The sequence below is a fragment of the Homo sapiens genome, chromosome 10 (genome assembly GCF_000001405.40).
Source record: "Homo sapiens chromosome 10, GRCh38.p14 Primary Assembly".
NCBI classification, from domain to species: Eukaryota; Metazoa; Chordata; class Mammalia; order Primates; family Hominidae; genus Homo; species Homo sapiens.
In genome coordinates, this window is record NC_000010.11 from 72,744,102 (window position 1) to 72,767,077 (window position 22,976).

The following is a 22,976-nucleotide window of genomic DNA, read 5'->3' on the forward strand; positions in this document are numbered from 1 at the left end:
CTTTTATCCCACTCTTAATATAGGAGGTATTTTCTATATAGTTTACAAATTCTTTCTCTATATTATGGAATAACTATGTATAACTATATAGTTGATCTTTTGGCTTCATTTTTCAGGTATCCAAAGATGCTTTTTTTTTTTTTTTTAAAGATTTTTGGGTGCGTAATATTTTGGAGAACTTTAGCAGTAATGTGCTATTCCTACTTAGTGACAGACTGAATGCAGGCTTGATCCACAGATTGACTTCATTTTGCCAACTGGCTTCTTAAATGAAGAAGAATTTGGTGGGGAGGAGAAAGTGCTAGAATTTTTGGCTCACTGGCCATAGCTTTGGAGCAGAACACAAAACAGCAAGGGTAGACTAACTTCATTTTGTTAACTGGTTCCTTAAATTGGCACACAGCTGTAGTCCCAGCTACTCGGGAGGCTGGGGCAGGAAAATTGCTTGAACCCAGGAGGCGGAGGTTACAGTGAGCCGAGATGGTGCCACTGCACTCCAGCCTGGGTGACAGGGTGAGACTTCGTCTCAAAATTCAGGAGTTTAGGGAGGAGAAAATGCCAACTGGTCACAGCTTTGGGACAGAATATAAAACAGCACAGCTGGTAGTTATTCAAAAGGGTAGGTCTGCTCTCCTTTCTTAAAAACATCTGGTTCTACCAGCTCTCTTTGAGCTACCCTGCAGAGTTCTTACTGCCAGACCTGTTTCTGAGTTGGAGATCATTAAACGAATGGTTAGATAGACCTCTGGGGTCAGCAGATAATCCCTGGGTCACCAGTTGAGATTTAATTTTTTTGTTTTTTAAACCTTTGAATGTTTAGTATAAGATAGAGGTTTTTGTTTTTGCTTTTTTGGTTTTGTTTTTTCCCCTTAACATGATCTGCCCCTCAGCTTTTCTTCTGAATTTGTATAATAAGGCCCACAGATAAGTGTTTCATATTAATATTATAAAATTGTTTTTGGGTTAGTCTGCATGCATTAAAAAAACCTATTTATAAACTCTCAAGGCTTATGGACAATTTAGATCAAAATAATTTAATTCAGTTTTCTTAAAGCAAGCTGGTTTATTTCTAAAGGTTCAGATTTTACATTTACCTAAAGTTAGTTTTTCTTCCAGTGGAATACTGTTCAGAATTTTTTTTTTTGAGATGGAGTTTCACTCTTGTTGCCCAAGCTGGAGTGCAATGGCACGATCTCAGCTCACTGCAACCTCTGCTTCCCAGGTTCAAGCTATTATCGTGGCTCAGCCTCCTGAGTAGCTGGCATCACAGGCGCACACTACCACACCGGCTGGTTTTTTCTATTTTTAGTAGAAACAGCGTTTCACCATGTTAGCCAGGCTGGTCTCGAACTCCTGACCTTAGGTGATCCACCTGCCTTGGCCTCCCAAAGTGCTGGGATTACAGGTGTGAGCCACCGTGCCCGGCCACTATTTGGTATTTTATACATAAATAGCTACTATAGCATGCTTCTTTCATCACAGGGATATGGCAAACACATAGAATTTTCTCATAGTACAATGTTTTCACTGAGAGCCTTTTTTCTTGTTTGTTTTTTCCTTTACCATATATTATAATATGGTATATTACCATATATCATTACCATAAAATGGTATATTACCATTATGTGGTAGTATACCATATATCATTGCATGGCCAGACTTTCTCACCAGAGCCTCATTGTCTTCCTGTGAAAGTATAGTCACATGTCACATTTGGCTAGCTATTCAAATTTTTTTTTATTGTGGTAAAGTATACATAACATAAAATATACCATTTTAATAATTTTGACGTGTATAGTTCATTGACATTAAGTACCTTCATGTAGTTGTGAACCATTACCACTATCCACCTCCAGAACATCTTCATTATTCTGTACTGAGTGGCTATTTTTAATGTTTCTAGGTGGAAGGGCATCCCAGCTTTTCCTGCCTGTGTTTTGTTTCCTTGCATCCAGTTTTTCTTTGCTGTTTGGTGGTAGTGGACCTACTTCTCCTCTTCTCATTTATTCACTCAACAAATATTTGTTGAGCATCTTTTGTGTGCACAGTATAGCGTGAAACCTAGTGGAAAACTATAGTTATAGTATTCGAATATAAGACTGTCTCATACCAGCCACACTGGCGTTGCAGTAATTTTTCAAAAACCAAAAAGAAAAGGCCTCCATAAAATACTTGAATTATAGTCAGGCTTAAAATGAAAAAATATTTGAGCAGAAGCTCCAAGTCACATCACATATCTGGAGAATTAGAAGTTTTTTTGTGGTTGTAAAAAACAAAGATTTTTCGTACAGGCGTTTTAACTTTAAGTAGAGGCATAAATGTTATCTGTGTCTATGTAAATACTACCTCACTTTTCAGTTGGATAAATCTGACTTAAATGCTCTGATTAAGTTGAATGTTTGAATTGTATCTATTAGAACAGTATCCTAAGCAGCAAGCCCAAGTCTGTTATTTTCAGGCCTTCTTCTGGTTCTAGGGTATGTAATAAGACTTCAGTGTTTGAAATGTCTGAAGTTGTCTCCAAACAGAGATTACACTAGCCCTTATGTGTTTGGGGATTCTGTGCTAATTGCATAATTGTAATGTTTAGCAGCCATCTGAAATGTAAACTTAATGCCAAATTTCTTATAATTGCTTCCATGGAAGGTAACCCAGGGTTCAGAAAAAAAATAACTTATTTGGACTTCTAATCCCTGCCGACTCTGAGATATCAAGACATGTAGTTATTATGTACTGAATTGGGGAGGTGACTAATTTATGATCTCTATCTAGAAGTTTGGTAAACACTTAGTGGTAGGTTGCTAGGCATGAATTTAGTCTCTTTGAAATTTGGAAATATAAATGTAATTCTGAACCTAACAATGAAACTGTCTGGGCCTTTTCAGCCTAACTCTGGAAATGTGACCAAAACCAGCTAAAAATATAAACTAAAAATATAACGAAAAAGTTAGGGACTATGTGCAGGGCAGAGGTGCTGATTTTTAACTCTGGTTGCTTCCACTTGCTGCTTTTAGTCCATGTTTAGTGCCTGTGTTTTGCTTCCTCATTCCCCATTGCACTCCTTCTCTGTTGCCATGGGTTTCCCAAGCTGGCATTATGGTCTTCCAGAATCCACTGTTGTGTTGTTTGCAGATATTTCAGGGATCACACAATGTCTATACGAATGTTATAGATACTTAATGCATTCTTGGAGGATTAAGAATATATTCTGAACCAGAAAAGTAAGGAGTAGTGCATTTTTAAAAACTCTGAGTTTTTGTTGGTTTTCTTTTCTTTTCGTTGTTTTAAAAAATATGTTAAAGAATGTATAGTGCTTGTTATGATGAGGTAATAAGGACTGTTCTTGTTACAGATAATTTTGTTGCTTTTGCACTTCGCTGCAGTGCCTGTTATGCCTGCTATTGGTAATACAAAAATTATTTTGGAAACACATAAAAACATAGAAATAGGTCAGGCACGGTGGCTTATGCCTGTAATCCCAACACTTTGGGAAGCTGAGGCAGGAGGATCGCTTGAGCCCTTGAGCCCAGTCAGGGTAACACAGGGAGACCTCGTCTCTACCAAAAAAAGAAAGGAAAAAAATAAAAAAGCTAGATGTGGTGACGTACGCCTGTGGTCCCAGCTATTCTGGAGGCAGAGTGGGAGGATCACTTGAGCCTGGGAGGTCGCAGCTGCAGTGAGCCATGATCATGCCACTGGCTTGACAGAACGAGATCCTGTCTCAGAAAAAAACAAAACCAAACCAAACCATGGAAGTGTAATATGGCCAAATATTTAATTTAAAATATTTTAGTAGCCGTATTTTAAAAAGTGGAAAGAAACAAGTAAAATTAATTTGAATAATATATTTTATTTAACATAATATAAAAATATTTCACTATTCAATATAAAAATTAATGAGTTACATCCTTTTTTTCATACTTAATCTTCAAGAGTCTTACGACAACCATCTTTTTTTTTTTTTGAGACGGAGTCTTGCTCTGTCGCCCAGGCTGGAGTGCAATGGCACGATCTCAGCTCACTGCAACCTCTGCCTCCCGGGTTCAAGTGATTCTCCTGCCTCAGCCACCTGAGTAGCTGGGACTACAGGTGCCCGCCACCACGCCCAGCTAATTTTTGTATTTTTAGTAGAGATGCGGTTTCACCAGGTTGGCCAGTCTGTTCTTGAACTCCTGACTTCAGGTGATCCGCCCGCCTTGGCCTCCCGAAGTGCTGGGATTACAGGCGTGTGCCACCGCACCGGCCAACCGTCTTAATTATCGTTAGATTAGACACATTTTAAGTGCTCAGTAGAGCGTGTAACTGTCATATTGAACAGTGTAGTTCTGCATTTTGTTATCTTTTCCCCATCAGATCGATTAACAAGGAGTGATAAGTAATAACTTTTTTCCTGTCTAGTGAACTATCCAAAGTGAATGTCAAGGAGATATAATGGCTGGGCGAGGTGGCTCATGCCTGTAATCCTGGTGGTTTGAGAAGCCTAGAGGGGAGAATCATTTGAACCCAGGAGTTTGAGACCAGCCTAGGCAACATAGCAAGACCCTGTCTCTACAAATAATAAATTTTAAAAAGGAGATATAAGGAGTCTGGTTAATTCATTCTCTGAAGAAATACTTCATTGTTTAAAAAAAAAAAGATAAACTCTAAGGGAAGGACATCCTGATCCATGTTTGTTACAGTCTCAAGAAAATAATTATAATTTGAAACCTGTTCTTTCCTTGACAGTGGTATTACTTTAAGGAAACAGGTAAACTTTCCATCTGAGGATTAAGATGTTAGAGTCATTTAGCTTCTCTAGAATTTGCCACACAGCATCCTAAATTGGGATGAAAAGCACTCACTATTCCACACTATCAAATAGCTGTAAAACTTGAGAATGTTGGATTATGATGGCTCACGCCTATAATCCGAACACTTTGGGAGGCCAAGGTGGGAGGATTGTTTGAGCCCAGGAGTTCAAGACCAGTCTGGGCAACAGCAACATGGTGAAATCTCATCTCTCCCAATAATTGAAAAAAAAAATGTTGTTTTTTTTTTGCCAGTCATGGTGGCACATGTATGTGGTCTCAGCTACTTGGGAGACTGAGGTGGGAGGATTGCTTGAGCCCTGGAGGACAAGGCTACAGTGAGCCGTAATCATGCCACGGCACTTCATCCTGGACGACTGAGTGAAAAACCTTGCCTCTAAAATCAAAAACCAACTTGAGAATGGTGACATGGGCAGAGATTTTAAATGAGTGATTTATTTTTCTCCAACCTGACTGATAGGAGCTTTTCTTCTAAGGTATAAGGTATTTACTAGAGTGTGAAGCTATTTATATGCAATTATATAATGCAAAGAATATAATTTTATTAGCTTATAATTACAAAATAAATACAACACATTAGGTTGATCAAATTAAATGTTCTGCCTTTTTTGGCCTATTATAGGGACTTGTGTTTGTAAGGACTGCTTTCTATGTCTTGGTGATAGATAAGGATTAAAAGTTAGGTTCTTAAAGGGGGTTAGGATGGCCATATAAGTCACCTCTAAATTGCAGTGCCTTTTGAGTGAAAGAGAGTGCTGACAATAAATATGTTACAGGAGCAGGTGTTAAGCTGGACTATCCCAGGCAAATTGGGACATATGGTCACCCTAGTTAAAGGGTGCTGTTGTAGCTTTGCTACCTTCTTTTTTTTAAATGAGACGGAGTCTTGCTCTGTTGCCCAGGCTGGAGTGCAGTGGCGTGATCTCAGCTCACTGCAGCCTCCGCCTCCCAGGTTCAAGTGATTCTCCTGCCTCAGCCTCCCAAGTAGCTGGGACTACAGGCGTGTGCTACCATGTCCAGCTAATTTTTGTACTTTTTTTTTTTTTTTTCAGTAGAGGCAGGGTTTCACCATGTTGACTGGGCTGGTCTTGAACTCCTGACTTCAGGTGATCCGCCTGCTTTGACTTGGCCTCCCGAAGTGCTGGGATTACAGGTGTGAGCCACTGTGCCCAGCCTTTGCTACCTTCTTTTTGGAGAATCCTGGTAGGCTGTAGGAAGTGAAGTCACAGAATTCATCAGTGTAAAGTTCCTGATCTGTGAGTGAGGTCTCCTTCATCTCAGAGCTTAGAACACTTTTTATTCAGGGAACACTGAACTGGAGAGATTAAGAGGGAAAAGGTAAATAATTTTAATTTAACAGACGAACAGTTTCTCCCATATCTGCAAGAAGGTTTTACGTGCATGAATACCAATGTGACTGAAGGATGTTTCCTTTTAATTGTGTAATATTATTATTTTTAAATTCTAGATTAAGATAATAAAATAGGTACAAAACTGAGCTCTGAGAAAACTTTGTTGCAAGGCATTGATTACAAATTTGATTTTTAAGAGCGTTGTTCAGTACGCTTATTTAGGCTTCTTGTTAACCATCTTTGAGGGAGATATCCTAGCATTTATGTGGATGGGTGTCTAACTGCATGATCCAGTAGGCTTTTACATTTTCAAGAAGTAGGTATGTGACGACACAGATATGCATCATTTGGAGGAGATACTGATTTTTTTCAGACTTTGAAGTCTATATTTAATAAAATTGACCTTTTTTTGATGTACGTGTCTATGAATTTACATAGATTTGTGTAACCACCTTCACAATCAGAATGCAGAACAGTTTCATTGCCCCTAAATTTCTCTTGTGCTGCCCATTTGAATTCAGTTCTTCCTCTCATCCCTAACCCCCCTGACAACCTTTCATTTGTTCTGTTTCTATACTTTTGCCTTTTGCAGATTGTCATATAAATGAAATCAAATAGTTTATAACATTTATGTTGCTTATTTAGCTTAGATTAGCTTATTTCACTCAGCACAATGCCTTTGAGGTTCATCCATGTTATTGCATGTTTCAATAGTTTGATATTTTAATTCATTTTTATTTTTTATTTTATTTTTTTGGAGACAGAGTTTTGCTCTGTTGCCCAGGCTGGAATGCAGTGGCATGATCTCGGCTCACTGCAATCTCCATCTCCTGGGTTCAAGCGTTTTTCCTGCCTCAGCCTCCCGAGTAGCTGGGATTACAGGCACACGCCACCATACCTGGCTAATTTTTTTATATTTTTGGTAGAGATGGGGTTTCACCATGTTGGCCAGGCTGGCCTCGAACTCCTGACCTCAAGTGATCCACCTGCCTCGGACTCCTAAAGTCCTGGGATTATAGGTATGAGCCACCGCACCCAGCCTCAAATGGTTTTTTTTTCTCTAACATCTTCTTCTTCTTCTTTTTTTTTTTTTTTTTTTTTTTTTTTTTTGAGACAGAGTCTCATTCTGTTTCCCCGGGCTAGAATGCAGTGGCATGATCTTGACTCACTGCAACCTCTGCCTCCTGGGTTCAAGTGATTTTCGTGCCTCAGCCTCCTGAGTAGCTGGGACTACAGGCATGCACCACAATGCCTGGCTAATTTTTGTATTTTTTGGTAGAGACGGGGTTTCACCATGTTGGCCAGGCTGGTCTCAAACTCCTGGCCTCAAGTGATCCGCCCACCTTGGCCTCCCAAAGTGCTGGGATTACGGGTGTGAGCCGCTGCACTCCACCTCTTTCTCTTCTTAATGATGTTGTTGTTGCACAGGTTCCCGAGGGTCTGGCTTCCTTTGAGACATTGTTATTAATCCCTCAGTGTCATTCCTTTGAGACATTGTTATTAATCCCTCAGTGTCATTCATTCAGATGCCACTGTGAACATTCTTGTGCAGGCCTGCTTGGGTACATGTGACAGACTTTCTTTTTTTTTTTTCCTGAGACAGAGTCTGGCTCTGTCGCCCAGGCTGGAGTGCAGTGGTGCCATCTCGGCTCACTGCAGCCTCCACCTCCTGGGTTAAAGTGATTCTACTGCCTCAGCATCCCGAGTAGCTAGGACTACAGGCACCCGCCACCACGCTGAGCCAATTTTTTGTATTTTTAATAGAGACGGGGTTTCACCATGTTAGCCAGGATGGTCTCGATCTCCTGACTTCGTGATCCACCCCCCTAGGCCTCCCAAAGTGCTGGGATTACAGGTGTGAGCCACCATGCCCGGCCGCACATTTATATCTTTAATTCATTTGTCTATTTGAAGTCAACCCTTAGGAGATAATACTTTTCACGCATTATCTCAGAGAAGATCAGTCTGCTGAGGACATAAGTGACAGGTCCAGATTTTTTTTTTTTTTTTTAATACTAGAGACAGGGTTTCACCATGTTGGTCAGGCTGGTCTTGAACTCCTGGCCTCAAGTGATCTGCCTGCCTCGGCCTCCCAGTGTGCTGGGATTACAGGCATGAGGCACCACGCCCACCCTCCAAATGTTTTTTTGAATGGGCAAAATAATCCACAGTAAATATAGAATGTGCTTTATGTCTAAATGCTAAGAACATATAGGCATTAATGACGTTGAAAACATTCTTTTCTTAGTACTGTATTGATAAATGTGTGGCTAGCTTTTTGGTGGCAGTAATAAACATGAATAGCAACAAAGCAACAACAAAACTGAGGGCACATTTGGAAGACAAAGAGATATGAAGGACAATATGGGATCTGGTGTTAGTTTTGTTTTGGGTTTTGCCTGCTGCATGGGTCACAGGAAACATTTAGTTACAGAACTGGAGACCTATTAAAATCCTCTCATTTGTAGGCCTGTGGTGTGTGTTTCTTATAGCAGAGCAATGGCTGCTGTGTGACTGTAAGTTTGGAATTTATGGTAATAGAAGCTTTAAATATCCCAAACATTACAGTAAAGGTGGAAGGAGCCCTTCTTAAAGAAGCAAGGTCAAATATTCATTTTGAAGTTGAAATGAATCAACAGGCAGTCTCTGAAGAATGCCATTTCCAAGTTCAGAGAAGATGCAGTTATGCCATCATAACATCATAACAGTCTGCTGGTTTCTGCATGACATGTGGATATAAAACACCATCTTTTCTATTGAGAGGCCCTAATTTAAAGCAAGAAAGTTCAGTGGTTGTGGTGACTTTTTAAAAAGTTGCTTCAAACATTATAGGGTGAAGAATTTTTCTTTCTTGGAGGATACCAGTTAACCTTAGACCTCTTAGATTTGTATTGTTTACATATATCGCTAATGAAATAATTTTTTTCTCACAGTTTAAAGTGATCTGTGAGCATGATTATCTTCCCTAAAATAAGTAACACCCAAAATAAGAATATATGATGTAAAAATTTTAAATGAGTTAATACCAGCAGCAAAAATATTACTTGACATTCCATCATATTAATACATTAAGTTCTAGTTACCAAGAACCCTTTATATTTACTCGTTGTTACATTGTACAATATAGTTTATAAACTGCTTGTTCATTTATCAAATTTCATTCAACATTCCCAGAAATGTCTTGTGCAGTAGGTGGTATTCATTTTTAGTGTATTAGGAATCTGAGGCTGAGAGAGATTATGATATTAATAGTTACAGTTTATTGAGAACCTATTAAGTACCTGGCACCTTAACTTGCATCATTTCATTTAATACTGAAAACCACATAATGGGCCGGGCGTAATGGCTTATGCCTGTAGTCCCAGAACTTTGAGAGGCTGAGGCTGGTAGATCGCTTGAGCCCAGAAGTTTGAGACCAACCTGGGCAACATGGCAAAATCCTGTCTCTATAAAAAATACAAAATACTAGCTGGGTGTGGTGGTGGCATGCGCTTCTGGACCCAGCTACTTGGGAGGATGATGTGGGAGGATTACCGGAGCCTGGGAGATTGAGATTGCAGTGATCTGTGATCACGCCACTGCACTCTAGCCTGGGTGACAGAGCAAGAAGACTTTGTCCAAAAAAAACAAAAAAACAAAACACACACACACACAAACCCACACTATGAAGTAAGTACTGTTTTCAGCCATATTTCCCAGATGAGGAAACTGAGGTTTAGAGTGATTAAGTAACTTACCCTAGATTATATTGCAAGTAGCAATTGTTATATGGTAAGTAGCAGAGTAGGCAGAGCCACCACTAGCTATGAGAGACTTCTGTTTGAATTAGGAAAGTTACCCCCTGTGGTGAACCAATGAGGAAGCCAAACTTCCTCTGGCCTGGCACACCACCCGAAGCAGTAACTTGGGGACCTGTGCTTAGATGCCACTTATTTCAGCATCTGTGAGCTGAACATGGGCAGAATTTCAGCCTTATTTTGCTTCCTTGATGCCTTTGTACTGTGCACAAACTGAGCCACCCTTACCCAAAGGTCTTAAAGCCCAGATTTCAATCCAGGTCTATTTGAGTCCGGAGCTTATATTCTGTTTAATAGCATGCTGCCAATTAATGGCAAAGTTAAGACTTCAGCCAGATTTTCTGATCATCAGTATTTTCCTCCTTCTATTATGTATCATGCAGGTTGGTTGAATTACAGATGACACTGGAGGCGGGGCATGCTGACTCACACCTGTAATCTCAGCACTTTGGGAGGCTAAGGCAGGGGGATTACTTGAGCCCAGGAGTTTGAGATGAACCTGGGCAACATAGACCCTGTCTTTACAAAGAATTAAAAAATTAGCCAGGCATGTTGGCACACACCTGTGGTCCCAGCACTTTGGGAGGCAGAGACAGGGTTTCACCATGTTGATCAGGATGGTCTTGAAGTCCTGACCTCAGGTCATCCACCTGTCTTAGCCTCCCAAACTGCTGGGATTACAGGCATGAGCAGCCCAGGAGGTTGAGGTGGCAGTGAGCCATGAGTGCATCACTGCACTCCAGCCTGGGCTTAGCTAGACACTGCCTCAAAAACAACAACAACAAAAAGCCCAACAAATGACACTCAAGTCCCATACTGCCCAGTTTGCAGACATTTTTTGCAGATGATGTTAAAGATTTCTTAGCACTTCTACAGAGTTATAACCTCACATATTTCATAACAAACTGTGTTTTTATGTGGCTCAAGATTTGTATTGAATTCCTGGTATCACTACCTAGTTAGCTGTGTGACCTTGATCAAGTTAGGAAGGGAATATAATAAGTATAGTGGTTAAAAGCATGGACTGTAGTCTCAGACTACCTGGGGTCAAATTCTAGCTATTTCTTACTAGATATGTGAACCTGAGATTTTTTTTTTTTTTTTTTTTGAGGCAGAGATTTGCTCTTGTTGCCTGGGCTAGAGTGCAATGGTATGATCTCAGTCACTGCAACCTCTGCCTCCCGGGTTCAAGCAATTCTCCTGCCTCAGCCACCCAAGGAGCTGGGATTACAGGCATGCACCACCATGCCCAGCTAGTTTTGTATTTTTAGTAGAGACGGGGTTTCAGCATGTGGATCAGGATGGTCTTGAAGTCCTGACCTCAGGTGACCCACCCGCCTTGGCCTCCCAAAGTGCTGGGATTACAGGCATGAGCCACCCCACCTGGCCAGCTTGGGCAATTTACTTTATGTCTTTAAGCCTGGTGTGTAATGTTGATGGTAGAGTGGGGAACAATTATACCTATCCAATGAGTTGTGAGTACTATATGAGTTAAATACATGAAGCATTTAGAATAGTGCCTTGCGCATAAATATAGTAAATACATTAAGTACTATTTAAGTGCTAACTGTTGTTATTGTTATTAATATTAGATCACTATGAGTTTGCACTTGTAGCCTGTAATTCAAAGCAATTTGAACGGCGGAAGCATAAATAGATAAATGATCATCTAAATATGGCATCTCTTCAACCCTTGTTGTTGTTGTTGTTTTTGCCAGATAAGAGTTTTCAAAGGTTGTGCCAGAGTACTTGCTTTAGGGATATTAGCCCAATTGAAACCATTTTTTTTTTTTTTTCATTGAGACAGAGTCTCTCTCTCTGTTACCCAGGCTTAGAGTGCAGTGATATGATCATAGCTCACTGCAGCCTCAATCTCCCAGGGTCAAGCAGTCCTCCCACCTCCGCCTCCTGAGTAGCTGGGACTACCGGTGTGCACCACCATACCCAGCTAATTGTTTTCTTTTACATGTTTTGTAGAGACAAGGTCTCGCTTTGTTGCCCAAGTGGGTCTCGAACTCCTGGTCTCAAGTGGATCCACCCACCTCAGCTTCCAAAGTGCTGGGATTACAGGTGTGAACCACCACACCTGGCTAATTTTTTGTGTTTTTATTAGATACAGGGTTTTGCTGTGTTGCCCAGGCTGGTCTTGAACTCGTGAGCTCAAGCAATCTTCCTGCCTCAGCCTCCAAAAGTACTGTATTACAGGTGTGAGCCCGGCCAAAATCAGTTTTTAAAAGAGGTTTACATGGCCGTATGGTATTCTCTTTCTTTTTTGGAAACAATACTATTTGTACCATGTTGTGTTATCAATCTATGTTTGGATTGTTAGCATTTAAGAACTACATTTTTCAGTAGATTGCTCTAGGTTATAGCCACTAACAATTACTTATACATAAAAATTTTCTTTTGAGTCATTAGCCAATTTGGGGGGCCTCTCAGGAGAAACTGCATAATTCACTGGGTGAATGCAAGTTCATTGCTCTTGGAGGCTGTGATAGCATAATCATTGCTTGCTGTATTCATGGTCAGTACACCTTCTGATTTGTTTTTAGTAGTAGTTTTGCCATATTCAAAGAAGAGCTCAATCTGAGGAGACTCCTTGATTTGACCTTACTTTGGCATAGCTAGCATATTACCTTAAGTTAGTGTTTGCCATCTATTTTGTTCCCTGACATTCTCTGTTGACGTTTTATGCCCCGCCCCCCGTGTCCAGCTCCCCTCCTCACAATCCCTGCCCCCTGCTGCCATCTTTAGCACTGGAAAGTTAAGAGTTTTGATCTCAGAGTTCATCAACTCAAGCTTTTGCTTTTTATTTGTAAAAGAACCATGTGAAGCTGGGCTCAGTGGCATACACCTGTAGTCCCAGGTACTTGGGAGGCTGAGGCAGGAGGATTATTCGAACTCAGGAGTATGGGTCCAGCCTGGATAACGTAATGAGACCTCCATCTTGAAAAAGGAAAAAAAAAAAAAAGAAAAGAACCATACGAAAGTACATAAGTGTATGAAAAAGCTACTTAACATTTCAAAAAGCAGTAAATGGCACATTGTCAAGTGAGTGGTTTTATCAGTCAGGGTCTCACAAGGAAAACAGAAACCATTTCAGGCATTTACAACAGAAGGAATTCAATGAGGGAAAATTATAATGCAGATAGTGAAAGAGCTGAGAGCCAAATAGGAGATGGTGAGGTAATGTAGAGATTAGCAACGGGAATCACCACCACCACCTCCTCCAGCTGAAGAAACAAGGGAGATGTGACATTATTGTATAAGGAGTACAAACAATATTGTTTCAGGGAAAAACATGAAAAAGGAAAATATAATTTGGGACAAGTACAGTGTGCTTCATCTCCTTCTTCCTCCTACTTCCCCAACCCCCACCCAAAGAACATACAGAAAGCTCTGTAAAAATTGCTAGTTTTTGAATGGAAGCTTTTTACTTTTTCTAAGAGGTGCGAGCCTGTGTGTCAGTGCTAAAATATAAAAGTAGTTTTTTAAAAGGCCATAAAAATTGGAGTAACATCACCTAGTTCATAATAATTTTTTTTTAATCTCTAAAGAGGGAAAGAATTTATGCCTAGCTAGCTGAAGTGGTCTGAAGAGATAATTTGAAGAGTTATTTGATAATATAAGCCAGTGTTTTTCCCCAACTAAATAATTCTGTCCCCCTCCCCCATGAGAATGTTCTTTGAAGCAATTGTCAGAGAAGAAATATAATTTTTCCTTAACCCTCATAAGTTCATAGTTGGGGACAGACCTTTGTGACAAATGACAGATTAACAAGCGAAAAACAAGCAGGTGTATATTCACGTGTGCAGTGCACATGATGCAGGAGAAACCTCAGTGAGAAGTAATTCAAAGCAGTGGCTTAGAACACTTGCCTATGTAGCATCTTCAACAAAGAGCAATGAATTTTCCAGAAGTGACAAGACAAAGAAAAGCAGGTTAACACTTCTAAAGGTGGGGAACTATGGGAAGGAAAAGTAAATATGTGGCAGTAAACTAGTGGAGTAAGATTTGTGATCCCTCTGGTGCCATATCTGAGTTGATAAGTTGTCTCCAGTAAAGGAGAATTTATATCTTTAGGTAGAAAAGCAGGAGAGGAGGATAGAAAGAGCTCTTCCTTTATTCATTAATTTTTCTCAACTCCCTCTTCACAGATTTGGTTAAGAGAGTCTAAAACTATGTTGTCCAGGTTGGCCTCAAACACCTGAGCTCGAGTGATCTCTCATCTCAGTCTCCCGAGTAGCTGGTACTACAGCCACATGCCATTGCACCTGCTTCTTCGGTTTAAAATATTTATGTCAAAGAGGAATATTTTGGGGTGACATATTCTGGCTTCCTTTACAGCCCTCTGTGCTATATCATGTCCACAGATACAGTTGTGTATTGGTACACAGAGAGACGGTGTGTAAAATCTCAGAGAATTGATGGTGTATGTATGAAACCTCAGAGAAACTGCCACCCAGAGAAAGGGAAATAGTTACTAAGGCAGTCTATTTCTTTTTTCTGAAAGTATGAATATGCAACTTTCAGTTACTAGAATTAATTTACTTCAGGCTGCTTGTGGGTGGATTAGATTAATTGATGAGTATTGGTCAAGAAATAAACCAATGCTTTTGCTGAATGGGCCAATTTTTTTGGCTTTCCCTAAAAGCAGAAATCACAGAATCATAAAGGTAATTAAACCATGGTTTTCATGGCTGTTTAATCTATTTTCTTGACTTTGAGAAATTTAGTGTTTGAGGCTTTTAAAAAATCTCTCTTTTCCGTAATATTACTTAAATTTTCTATTGGAAACACAATTTTAAGACAGAATTAATAAGTAGTGTGGAATAAGACAATGATAATACACTTAGAATAAGGTTTGAAAAATGCAGTATTATTTAATGGAATGAGCTTCAAGATAAAAAGGCTCTAGTTCTGTTTGTAGCTCTGTACCTGTTTAGTTGTATTATTAAGGTTTGTTGCTGAACCTCTTTATGTCTGTTCCGCAAGTCTGCATGTAGGGTAATAGTACTTCTGTTCATCTGTAGCAGGACGAGCCGCAGACAAAACTCCTCAAACACCAACTTAAAGAGGGAAGGGGTTTATTCGGCCAGGGTTATCGGCAAGACTCCTGTCTCGAGAGCCTAGCCCCCGAGTGAGCAATTCCTGTCCCTTTTAAGGGCTCACAACTCTAAGGGGGTGCGTGTGAGAGGGTCGTGATTGATTGAGCAAGCAGGGGGTACATGACTGGGGGCTGCATGCACTGGTAATTAGATCGGAACAAAACAGGATAGGGATTTTCACAGTGCTTTTCTATACAATGTCTGTAATCTATAGATAACATAACCGATTAGGTCGGGGTCAGTCTTTAACTACCAGGCCCAGGGTGTGGCACCAGGCTGTCTGCTTGTGGATTTCATTTCTGCCTTTTAGTTTTTACTTTTTCTTTCTTTGGAGGCAGAAATTGGGCATAAGACAATATGAGGGGTGGTCTCCTCCCTTAATCTTATAAACTTAGCATGAAGTTTAAATTAAGTCTATGAAATTTGTTTTAAAATAAAAACTCTCAGTACAAAAATAAATACTCTTACAGACTGAATGTTTCTTCCCCCCAAATTGATACTACAAATTTACATATTATAGGGTTGAAGCCTAACCCTCAATGTGACTATTTGGAGATAGTGGCCTGGGAGGAAGTGACAGAGGTTAAATGAAGTCATAAGGGTGGACCCCTAATCCTATAGGGCTGGTGCCTGTTTAAGAAGAAGACATGCCAGAGCTCTTTCTCTCCACCGTGTGAGAATACAGTGTGAAGGTAGCTGCCTGCAAGCCAAGAAGAGAGCCCTCACCAGAAACCAATCCTTGATTTGGAGCTTCTAGCCTCTAGAACTGTGAGAAAATAAATTTCTGTTGTTGAAGCCATCCACTCTTTGATATTTTGACAGCCTGAGCAGACTGAGATACTCCTGATGCTACATTATTTTTAAATTCTGTAAAACTTTAAATTTTTTTTTTTTTTGAGACAGAGTCTAGCTCTTTTGCCTGGGCTAGAGTGTAGTTGCGTGATCACAGCTCACCGTAGCCTCGACCTTTTGTATTCAAGTGATCTTCCTACCTCAGCCTCCTGAGTAGCAAGGACCACAGGCATATACCATGATGCCGGGCTAATTTATTTTATTTTATTTTTGGTGGAGACAATGTCTCACTATATTGCTCAGGCTGCTCTTGAAGTCCTGGGCTCAAGCGATCCTCCCATCTCAGCCTCTCAAAGTATGGGGATTACAGGTGTGAGCCACCTCACCCAGCCAAAATTTTGAAATCTTTATTCAAGAAATGGTTCCCTGAAAAACCAGGTTATAATGCTCAAAAGTCACACTTTAAGAGAAAGGAATATTTAGTGAGCACTTAACACCAGGGCTTGTTTTAGATTTATTTAAAAATATATTTTATAATTTGGTCCTCAAAAAACCCTACGTCATAAATGTTTTGGTTTTCTTTTGTTTTTAGAGAGGGTCTCACCCCGTCACCCAGGCTGAAGTGCGGTGGCATGATCTTGGCTCACTGCAGCCTCAAACTCCTGGGCTCAAGCAATCCTTCTTTCTCAGCATCCTGAATAGCTAGTACTACAGGTGTGTGCCGCCATGTCTGGTTACTTAAATTTTTTTTTTCTTTCTTTTTTTTTTTTTTTTTGCAGAGACAGGGTCTCACTGTGTTGCCTAGGCTGGTCTTGAACTCTTGGCTCAAGCAAGTCTCCCACCTCGGCCTCTCAAAGTGCTGCGATTACAGGCATGAGCCACTGTGCCAGGCCCATAGATATTTTCATTCCTATTCAATAGACAAGGCAACTAAAACCCAAGATCTTACAATTAGTAAATGATAGGGCTGAAATTCAAACATAGTCTCTCAGAAGCTTTTAAATTATGTCCTGATACCTTCTGTTTCTTCTAGTTGTACTGGACTCAGTCAAATGCCAGGCAGGATACAAAGGTTAGTGCCACCGTAGAATGTTATAAGTTGGAAAAAAATTGTAGACTTCATCTAATCTAACTTTCTCATTTTATGGATGAGAAAACTAAGGTCCAGAGAGTTAATGAAGTGACTGAAGATTAGAGCTAATTAGTGAAGTGTGAAGATCAATATTGCTAATGTTTTGCAGTCCATTTTTAAACCTGTGTAAATGCTAACCATTAGTAATGAGAAGCGTCAGAAAATGTTGAACAAAAGGTTTGAGTTGTATGTGGAACCAATCTTAAGCCACCAAATGAGCCTACATTTGTAATCTTTCTACTTTGTGTCTCCCAAAGAATGGAAGTAACAGTTGATAAGAAAGATAGGGCTGTCATATAATTTATAGACCTATTTTCATCTTGGAAAATTTATTCTGAGGTACAAAGAAAACGAAGTTATCTTATGGCCAGAATACCTTTTCTCACCTTGTCACGTGATGGTACTTTTTGGTATTTTATGATCGGCACTGCCATGCCTTCATGGGGACCTGTCTTTTTGCAAGTTCTTTCTCAACTGTGATGACTGACTTTGCCCAAATTCCAGATTTGATTAGTGGAAAGAATGATATATATGTTGATGTAAGACATTTAATTTCTTTTTTTAAAAGTATTTTTTAATTTCAATAGCTTTTGGGCTACAGGTGGTTTGGTTACAACCACCTGTAACATAGATGGTTACATAGTTTTTTGATTGTATAGATGAAGTATATAGTGGTGAATTCTGAGATTTTAGTGTACCAATTACCTGAGTAGTGTACATTGTACCCAATATGTAGTTTTTTTATTCCACACTCCCTCCTCTGAGTCTCCAAAGTCCATTATATCACTCTGTATGCCTTTGTGTACTCAGAGCTTAGCTCCCACTTGTAAGTGAGAAGATTTAGGAACGTATTTTTAGTTCTATCAGTTCCAAGATCTTTTAAGAACTATTTTATTTATCCAAAGTGATTTGTCCTTAGGCTCCTTAGGCCCCCTGAATATCTGACAAAATATATTAGTACTGGAAGTTCAGCCCTTAAATCAAGGATTTGGAAATCTTCAGAAAGTATGAAAATACCATTTTATAACCCTCTAAAATCAAAACATACAAACCTGCTAGATTAAATCAGGAAGAAAAGAAACCCTGAACAGACCAATAGCAAGCAGTGAGATTGAATCAGTAATTTTAAAACTGCCAACAAAAACAAAAAAAGCCCAGGGCCAGATGGATTCACAGCTGAAATCTACCAGACATTCAAAGAAGAATTGGTACCAATCAATCCTAGTGAAACTATTCCAAAAGACTGAGAAAAAGGGAATCCTCCCTAAATCATTCCTAATGACAATACATACTATGATTTTAAAAAATAGATGGTATTTGATATAATAGAGGAACAGGGATTTTTTTTTTTTAAACTACATACATGCAAGTTCCATGGAAAGACTGGGTCACAGTGAATCCTTGTCTTGTTAATAAAAAGAGGCATGTGAGAAGTAGTAAACTGGAAGGACTGGTGAGGAAATGTGAAAGGAACTCATATTGCCAATTAAGATTCTGGATTGAAGAAAAATGTTTTAATTATACTAATAGAATCTTTTTAATTATGAACATGTGTCAGTTCTAAAATACTATTGAGCACCTCTACGTACAGGAACTATGCTAGGTACTGGGAATGCAGTTTTAAGTAAGATAGATTTTCTGCCTTCGATATTGTTAAGGTTTAGTCAGGAAGCAGGCACAGATAGTGATAGTATAATGTCATAAAACTGTTCCCCAGTGTATTAGGTGTTTTTTTTTTCCTGCAGTAATAAATTAAAATAACAAATTTATTATCTTGCATTTCTGTAGGTCAGAAATCTGACAGAGGTCCCACTGGGCTAAAATCAACGTGTCTTCAGGGATGTGTTCCTTTCTGGACCTGTGAGAGCAGAATCTGTTTCCTTGCCTTTTCTGGTTTCTGGAGACTACCCACATTTCCTTGGTTCATGATTTTTTTCTCCATCTTCAAAGCTAGTGTTTTCTGTTCCTTTCAGGCTGCCATCTCTCTGGTTCTCTGGAGCTGGAACAGGTTTTCTGATTTTAATTGATTAAATAACTGTGATTAGATTGTGCCCACCTGGATAATCCTGGGTGCAAACTTTTTCATTTTTACATCAAAGTCCTTAGCCACATCTGTAAAGTTCCTTTTGCCACGTAAGGTAACATATTCACTAATTTTGAGGATTAGGGCATGGACACATTTTGGGGTCCTTATTTCACCTACCATACTAAGGAAATATCAAAGAGTCTGGCACCTAACCCAGTTTAGGAGCCCAGGAAAAGCTTCGAGGAGCAGATCAGCTGGGTCTCAAACTGGGTGAAGCGGGAGTATGAGTGGCTGCTGGCTGGGTGTCAAATGAGTGAGGGAAAGGCATTTGAGCTAAGGGGAGCTACATGAGTATATATAGAGGTGTGAAAAAGAATGGGTTTTAACATTAATTTTTATTTTTTAAAGAATCACAAATCAGTAAAAATGTAGTATGAAATGGTAGCTTGGGGATGAGTAGGGATGGAGAGAAAGGTTTGATTATGGTGGGACTTTGCATACTGTGCTTTACAGCTTCAGTTTATCCTGTAGACAGTGGCATGACATTGAAGGATTTGAAACTGGCGAGTGACTTGATTAGATTTCACTTTAGGTAGATCATATTCAGCTGTCTGGAGGGGGAATAGGCTGGCGGTAAAGAGACTGAAAAGGCTTTTACTATATAGTTCAGGTATCTTTATATATAATTCAGCTGATTAAGTTTTTGGCTTAGGTGACTGAGTCATACCATCAGAGATAGGAAAATACAGAAAGAAAGCTATGAGAGGTGTAAGGTAATATTAATACTCTCCCCTTCACACTCCCCTTCCACACACACACACGCATGTGCTCAACCAAAGAATGAACCTTGATTAAAGTCAGCCTAAATTTCTATTTTTTTTCTCTAAAAGTAGCCATTTACCATCAGTAAATAAGCAGAACAGTTTAGGTTGAACTGTTATATTTTCCCTTCTTAGGAGCTGACTTTATTTCCTTTAGCATCCCCTTCACATTTACATAATGTTGACTGGACACATGTTTTGTCTTTCCTTGTCCTGTGGCTTTCAGTTCCACTAAATGATTTAAGAAATTAAGGCATTGTACAAGTCCATTCCAGTTTACTTTCTTCTTCATTTTGCTGTGGTGATTGAGCCAGTTTCTGGCTTTCCAAATAGCCCATTATTCAATTTAATGGACAGTGTAATCTTGTCTGCAGAAGGAACTTGTTATTTGAAGATATCAGAAACATTCCAGGGACATAGTTACTGGTTGGGAGTGGAATTTGTGTGTAGACCTGGTATTAAAAAAACCTTGTGGTTTTGCAGCATTCTAATGTATTGCATACCTAGGAATTCTAGCTATTTTGAAAGATGATTCTGTGGTTGGTCCAGTAGCTAAAAGGTAACATAACATTTGAGCACATGTGCCCAAATATGTTGTTTACCAGATGAATTAAGAGTTCTTACATTACACTGCTAAAACTATAAAATGTTTAAATGGTGATTATACTTTTTCATTGGGAAGACTATGCAGTAGGGAAGAATTACAATTTGGATTTAAAGTATTACATTCCCCTAAACAGATTTGGGGTTATAATTTTAATATTTCTAATTGAGATATGGGCTGCAGTCTACTCAGAGTAACTAAGAAATGTAATTGCCATGAAGTTCTGAGTAGATGTATATGACTTTTGGCTATATTAAGAGAATAGGATTTATCAGGGAATGGTCTGAATTTCTATAGCACAAGTTAACTGTAAATACTTTGAGAAAGCCACTAAATAGATTCATTAATGACCACATATTTATAGAACAGGAAAACATACGACTTATATTGATGTGATTTTTGCCCTTATAAAGAATTAAATATTAGAGGGCCGGGAGTAATGGCTTGTGCCTGTAATCTCAGCACTTTGGGAGGCCGAGGTGGGCAGATCGCTTGAGCCCAGGAGTTCAAGAACATCTTGGGCAACATGGTGAACCCCATCTCTTAAAAAAAAAAAAAAAAAAAGAGAGAGTTAGGGCATGTAGAACAAGAGTTTTAATGAAAAGATTTTTGTGTTTTGGCCCTTAACCTCGGTCTATAAATTCAGTTGTTGATAGCATAGTGCAGTTAATTTACAACTATTTGATTGTTTAGAAATGTATTAATTAAAATAGTTTTGCCCATAAAATGTTGCAAAATCTATAAATGGTTTCGTAAGAAGTACTATAAAAGAGGAGATGATAGAAGAGGGTAATGAGTAGAAGGGAAAGGTTTTATTAGCCTTTTGTTCTTCTTTATGCTACCTCCTTCTATAAAGTTGTTATTTCCTAGGTCATGTTTTATATTTCAAAGATTATTATTTTAATAATCTGTAGGGCTTTCTATTATAGATATTATTAAGGCAAATACCTCCAGGAAGAATAAGCAATAAGTCTGGGCATGGTGACTCACACTTGTATTCCCAGCATTTTGGAAGGCAAAGGCAGGAAGATAGCTTGTGCCCAGGAGTTCAAGACTAGCCTGGATAACATAGCAAGACTCCATCTATACAAAAAATAAGAAATATAGCCAGGCATGGTGGCACGTATCTCTGGTGCCAGCTACTCCAGAGGCTGAGGCAGGAGGATTGCTTAAGCCCAATATGTTGATGCTGCAGTGAGTTATGATCTACACTCTAGCCTGGGTAACAAAGCCAGACGCTGTCTCAAAAAAAAAAAAAAAAAAAAAAGAAAGAAACTCGACAGAATAAAAACAATTCAGATGACTATTTTCTTTTATTTTATTTTCTTTTTCTTTTTTTTGAGTCAGAATCTTGCTCCCAGGCTGGAAGACATGGAGTGCAATGGCGAGATCATAACTCACTGCAGCCTTGACCTCCTAGGCTCCACTGATCTTCTTGACTCAGCCTCTTGAGTAGCTGGGACTACAGGCATGTGCCACCACACCCAGCTAATTTTTAAATTTTTTGTAGAGATGTGGGGGTCTCACTGTTTTGCGGGCTAGTCTTGAACACCTGGCCTCAAGCAGTCCTCTCACCATGGCCTTCCACAGTGCTGGGATTGCAGGCGTGAGCCACCATGACTGACTGTTTTTCATTTCTTGACATTCATATCAATTGGAATAAAGTTAAGAGAAAGTTGCAAATTTCAAGTACCTTTTGTGTGGCTCTTTTTTCTTGTCTTTCTTTTTATAGTATAAGTATGACAAGACTAGATTTTCTTGAATCTCAGATTAAACCCAACGTGTCTTAATTAGCATTAGCAATTTATGGCAAAAGTCAAGGTTTGCCACAGTCTCTGCAGTTCAGATATCAGCTTTTCTTTTAATGGCCTTTATATATTGCTAAGTACAAAATATGCAAGAAAAAGACAACCTATGTTTATTCATTACACATAGATCATTGAAGTCATGAATTAGAAATCTGTACCTTAGAGCTGCTTGGACTACTAGAACCCTTGAATATTTTTCAATTTTACCTTTAACTAAAAAAAATTCCTTTCTCATCTGTACTTTAGGAGATTGCAGAATCTTGTGGCGAGGGTATTAAAACTGACCATTCAAAGTCATAGCCCATTTCTTGGTACTTGCATTTCTCTCTGTGTAAAATTGGTACTTCATAGCCTTCTGATCCTGTATTTCTGATACTTATTGATCAATTATGATTGAAAGCCAGGTTGTTTAACGCTCTGTCAGTCTTCAAATGAACTTTTATTTATTAAACTGTTTATTCCTTCTGATTTAAATAAATTTCATTTCCCAAAGATGAGTAGGTATGAAAAATAATACTCAGAAGAGATTGTTCTTGTGGGGAGAACTGCTTCTACAGGATCTAGCTTTGATTTTGTATCTTTCAATCTTTTTAAAATCAACTTTAACGAATTTAAACCTATTTTAAGTGTACAAGTAATAAGTTTGACAATTGTATGTGACTTCTACCACAATAAAATATAGAACATTTTTATCATTCTATAAGTTCCCTTGTGCTGCTTTGCAAAGT

General features: G+C 39.1%; 1 protein-coding gene and 1 long non-coding RNA gene across 6 annotated transcripts in view, besides 1 other annotated feature; both read left to right on the plus strand.

Moving 5' to 3' along the window:
* Positions 1-22,976, plus strand: part of MCU (mitochondrial calcium uniporter) — a 195,552-nt gene that overhangs the window by 51,959 nt on the left and 120,617 nt on the right. The window lies entirely within an intron of this gene.
* Positions 7,493-22,948, plus strand: LOC124902450 (uncharacterized). Of its 2 annotated transcripts, none has more exons than XR_007062189.1 (2): positions 7,493-16,571; positions 18,778-22,948. It is a non-coding gene; the product is annotated as an uncharacterized LOC124902450 (long non-coding RNA). The 2 variants fall into 2 exon arrangements; XR_007062190.1 differs by lacking the exon at positions 7,493-16,571 and adding an exon at positions 16,603-16,929.
* Positions 12,828-13,327: an enhancer, noted in NCBI's record as "OCT4-NANOG-H3K27ac hESC enhancer chr10:74516687-74517186 (GRCh37/hg19 assembly coordinates)". NCBI's record gives its function as "activates a minimal SCP1, AML or CMV promoter by ChIP-STARR-seq in primed H9 embryonic stem cells {active_cell/tissue: H9 hESC(primed)}" and the evidence as "EXISTENCE:reporter gene assay evidence [ECO:0000049][PMID:30033119]".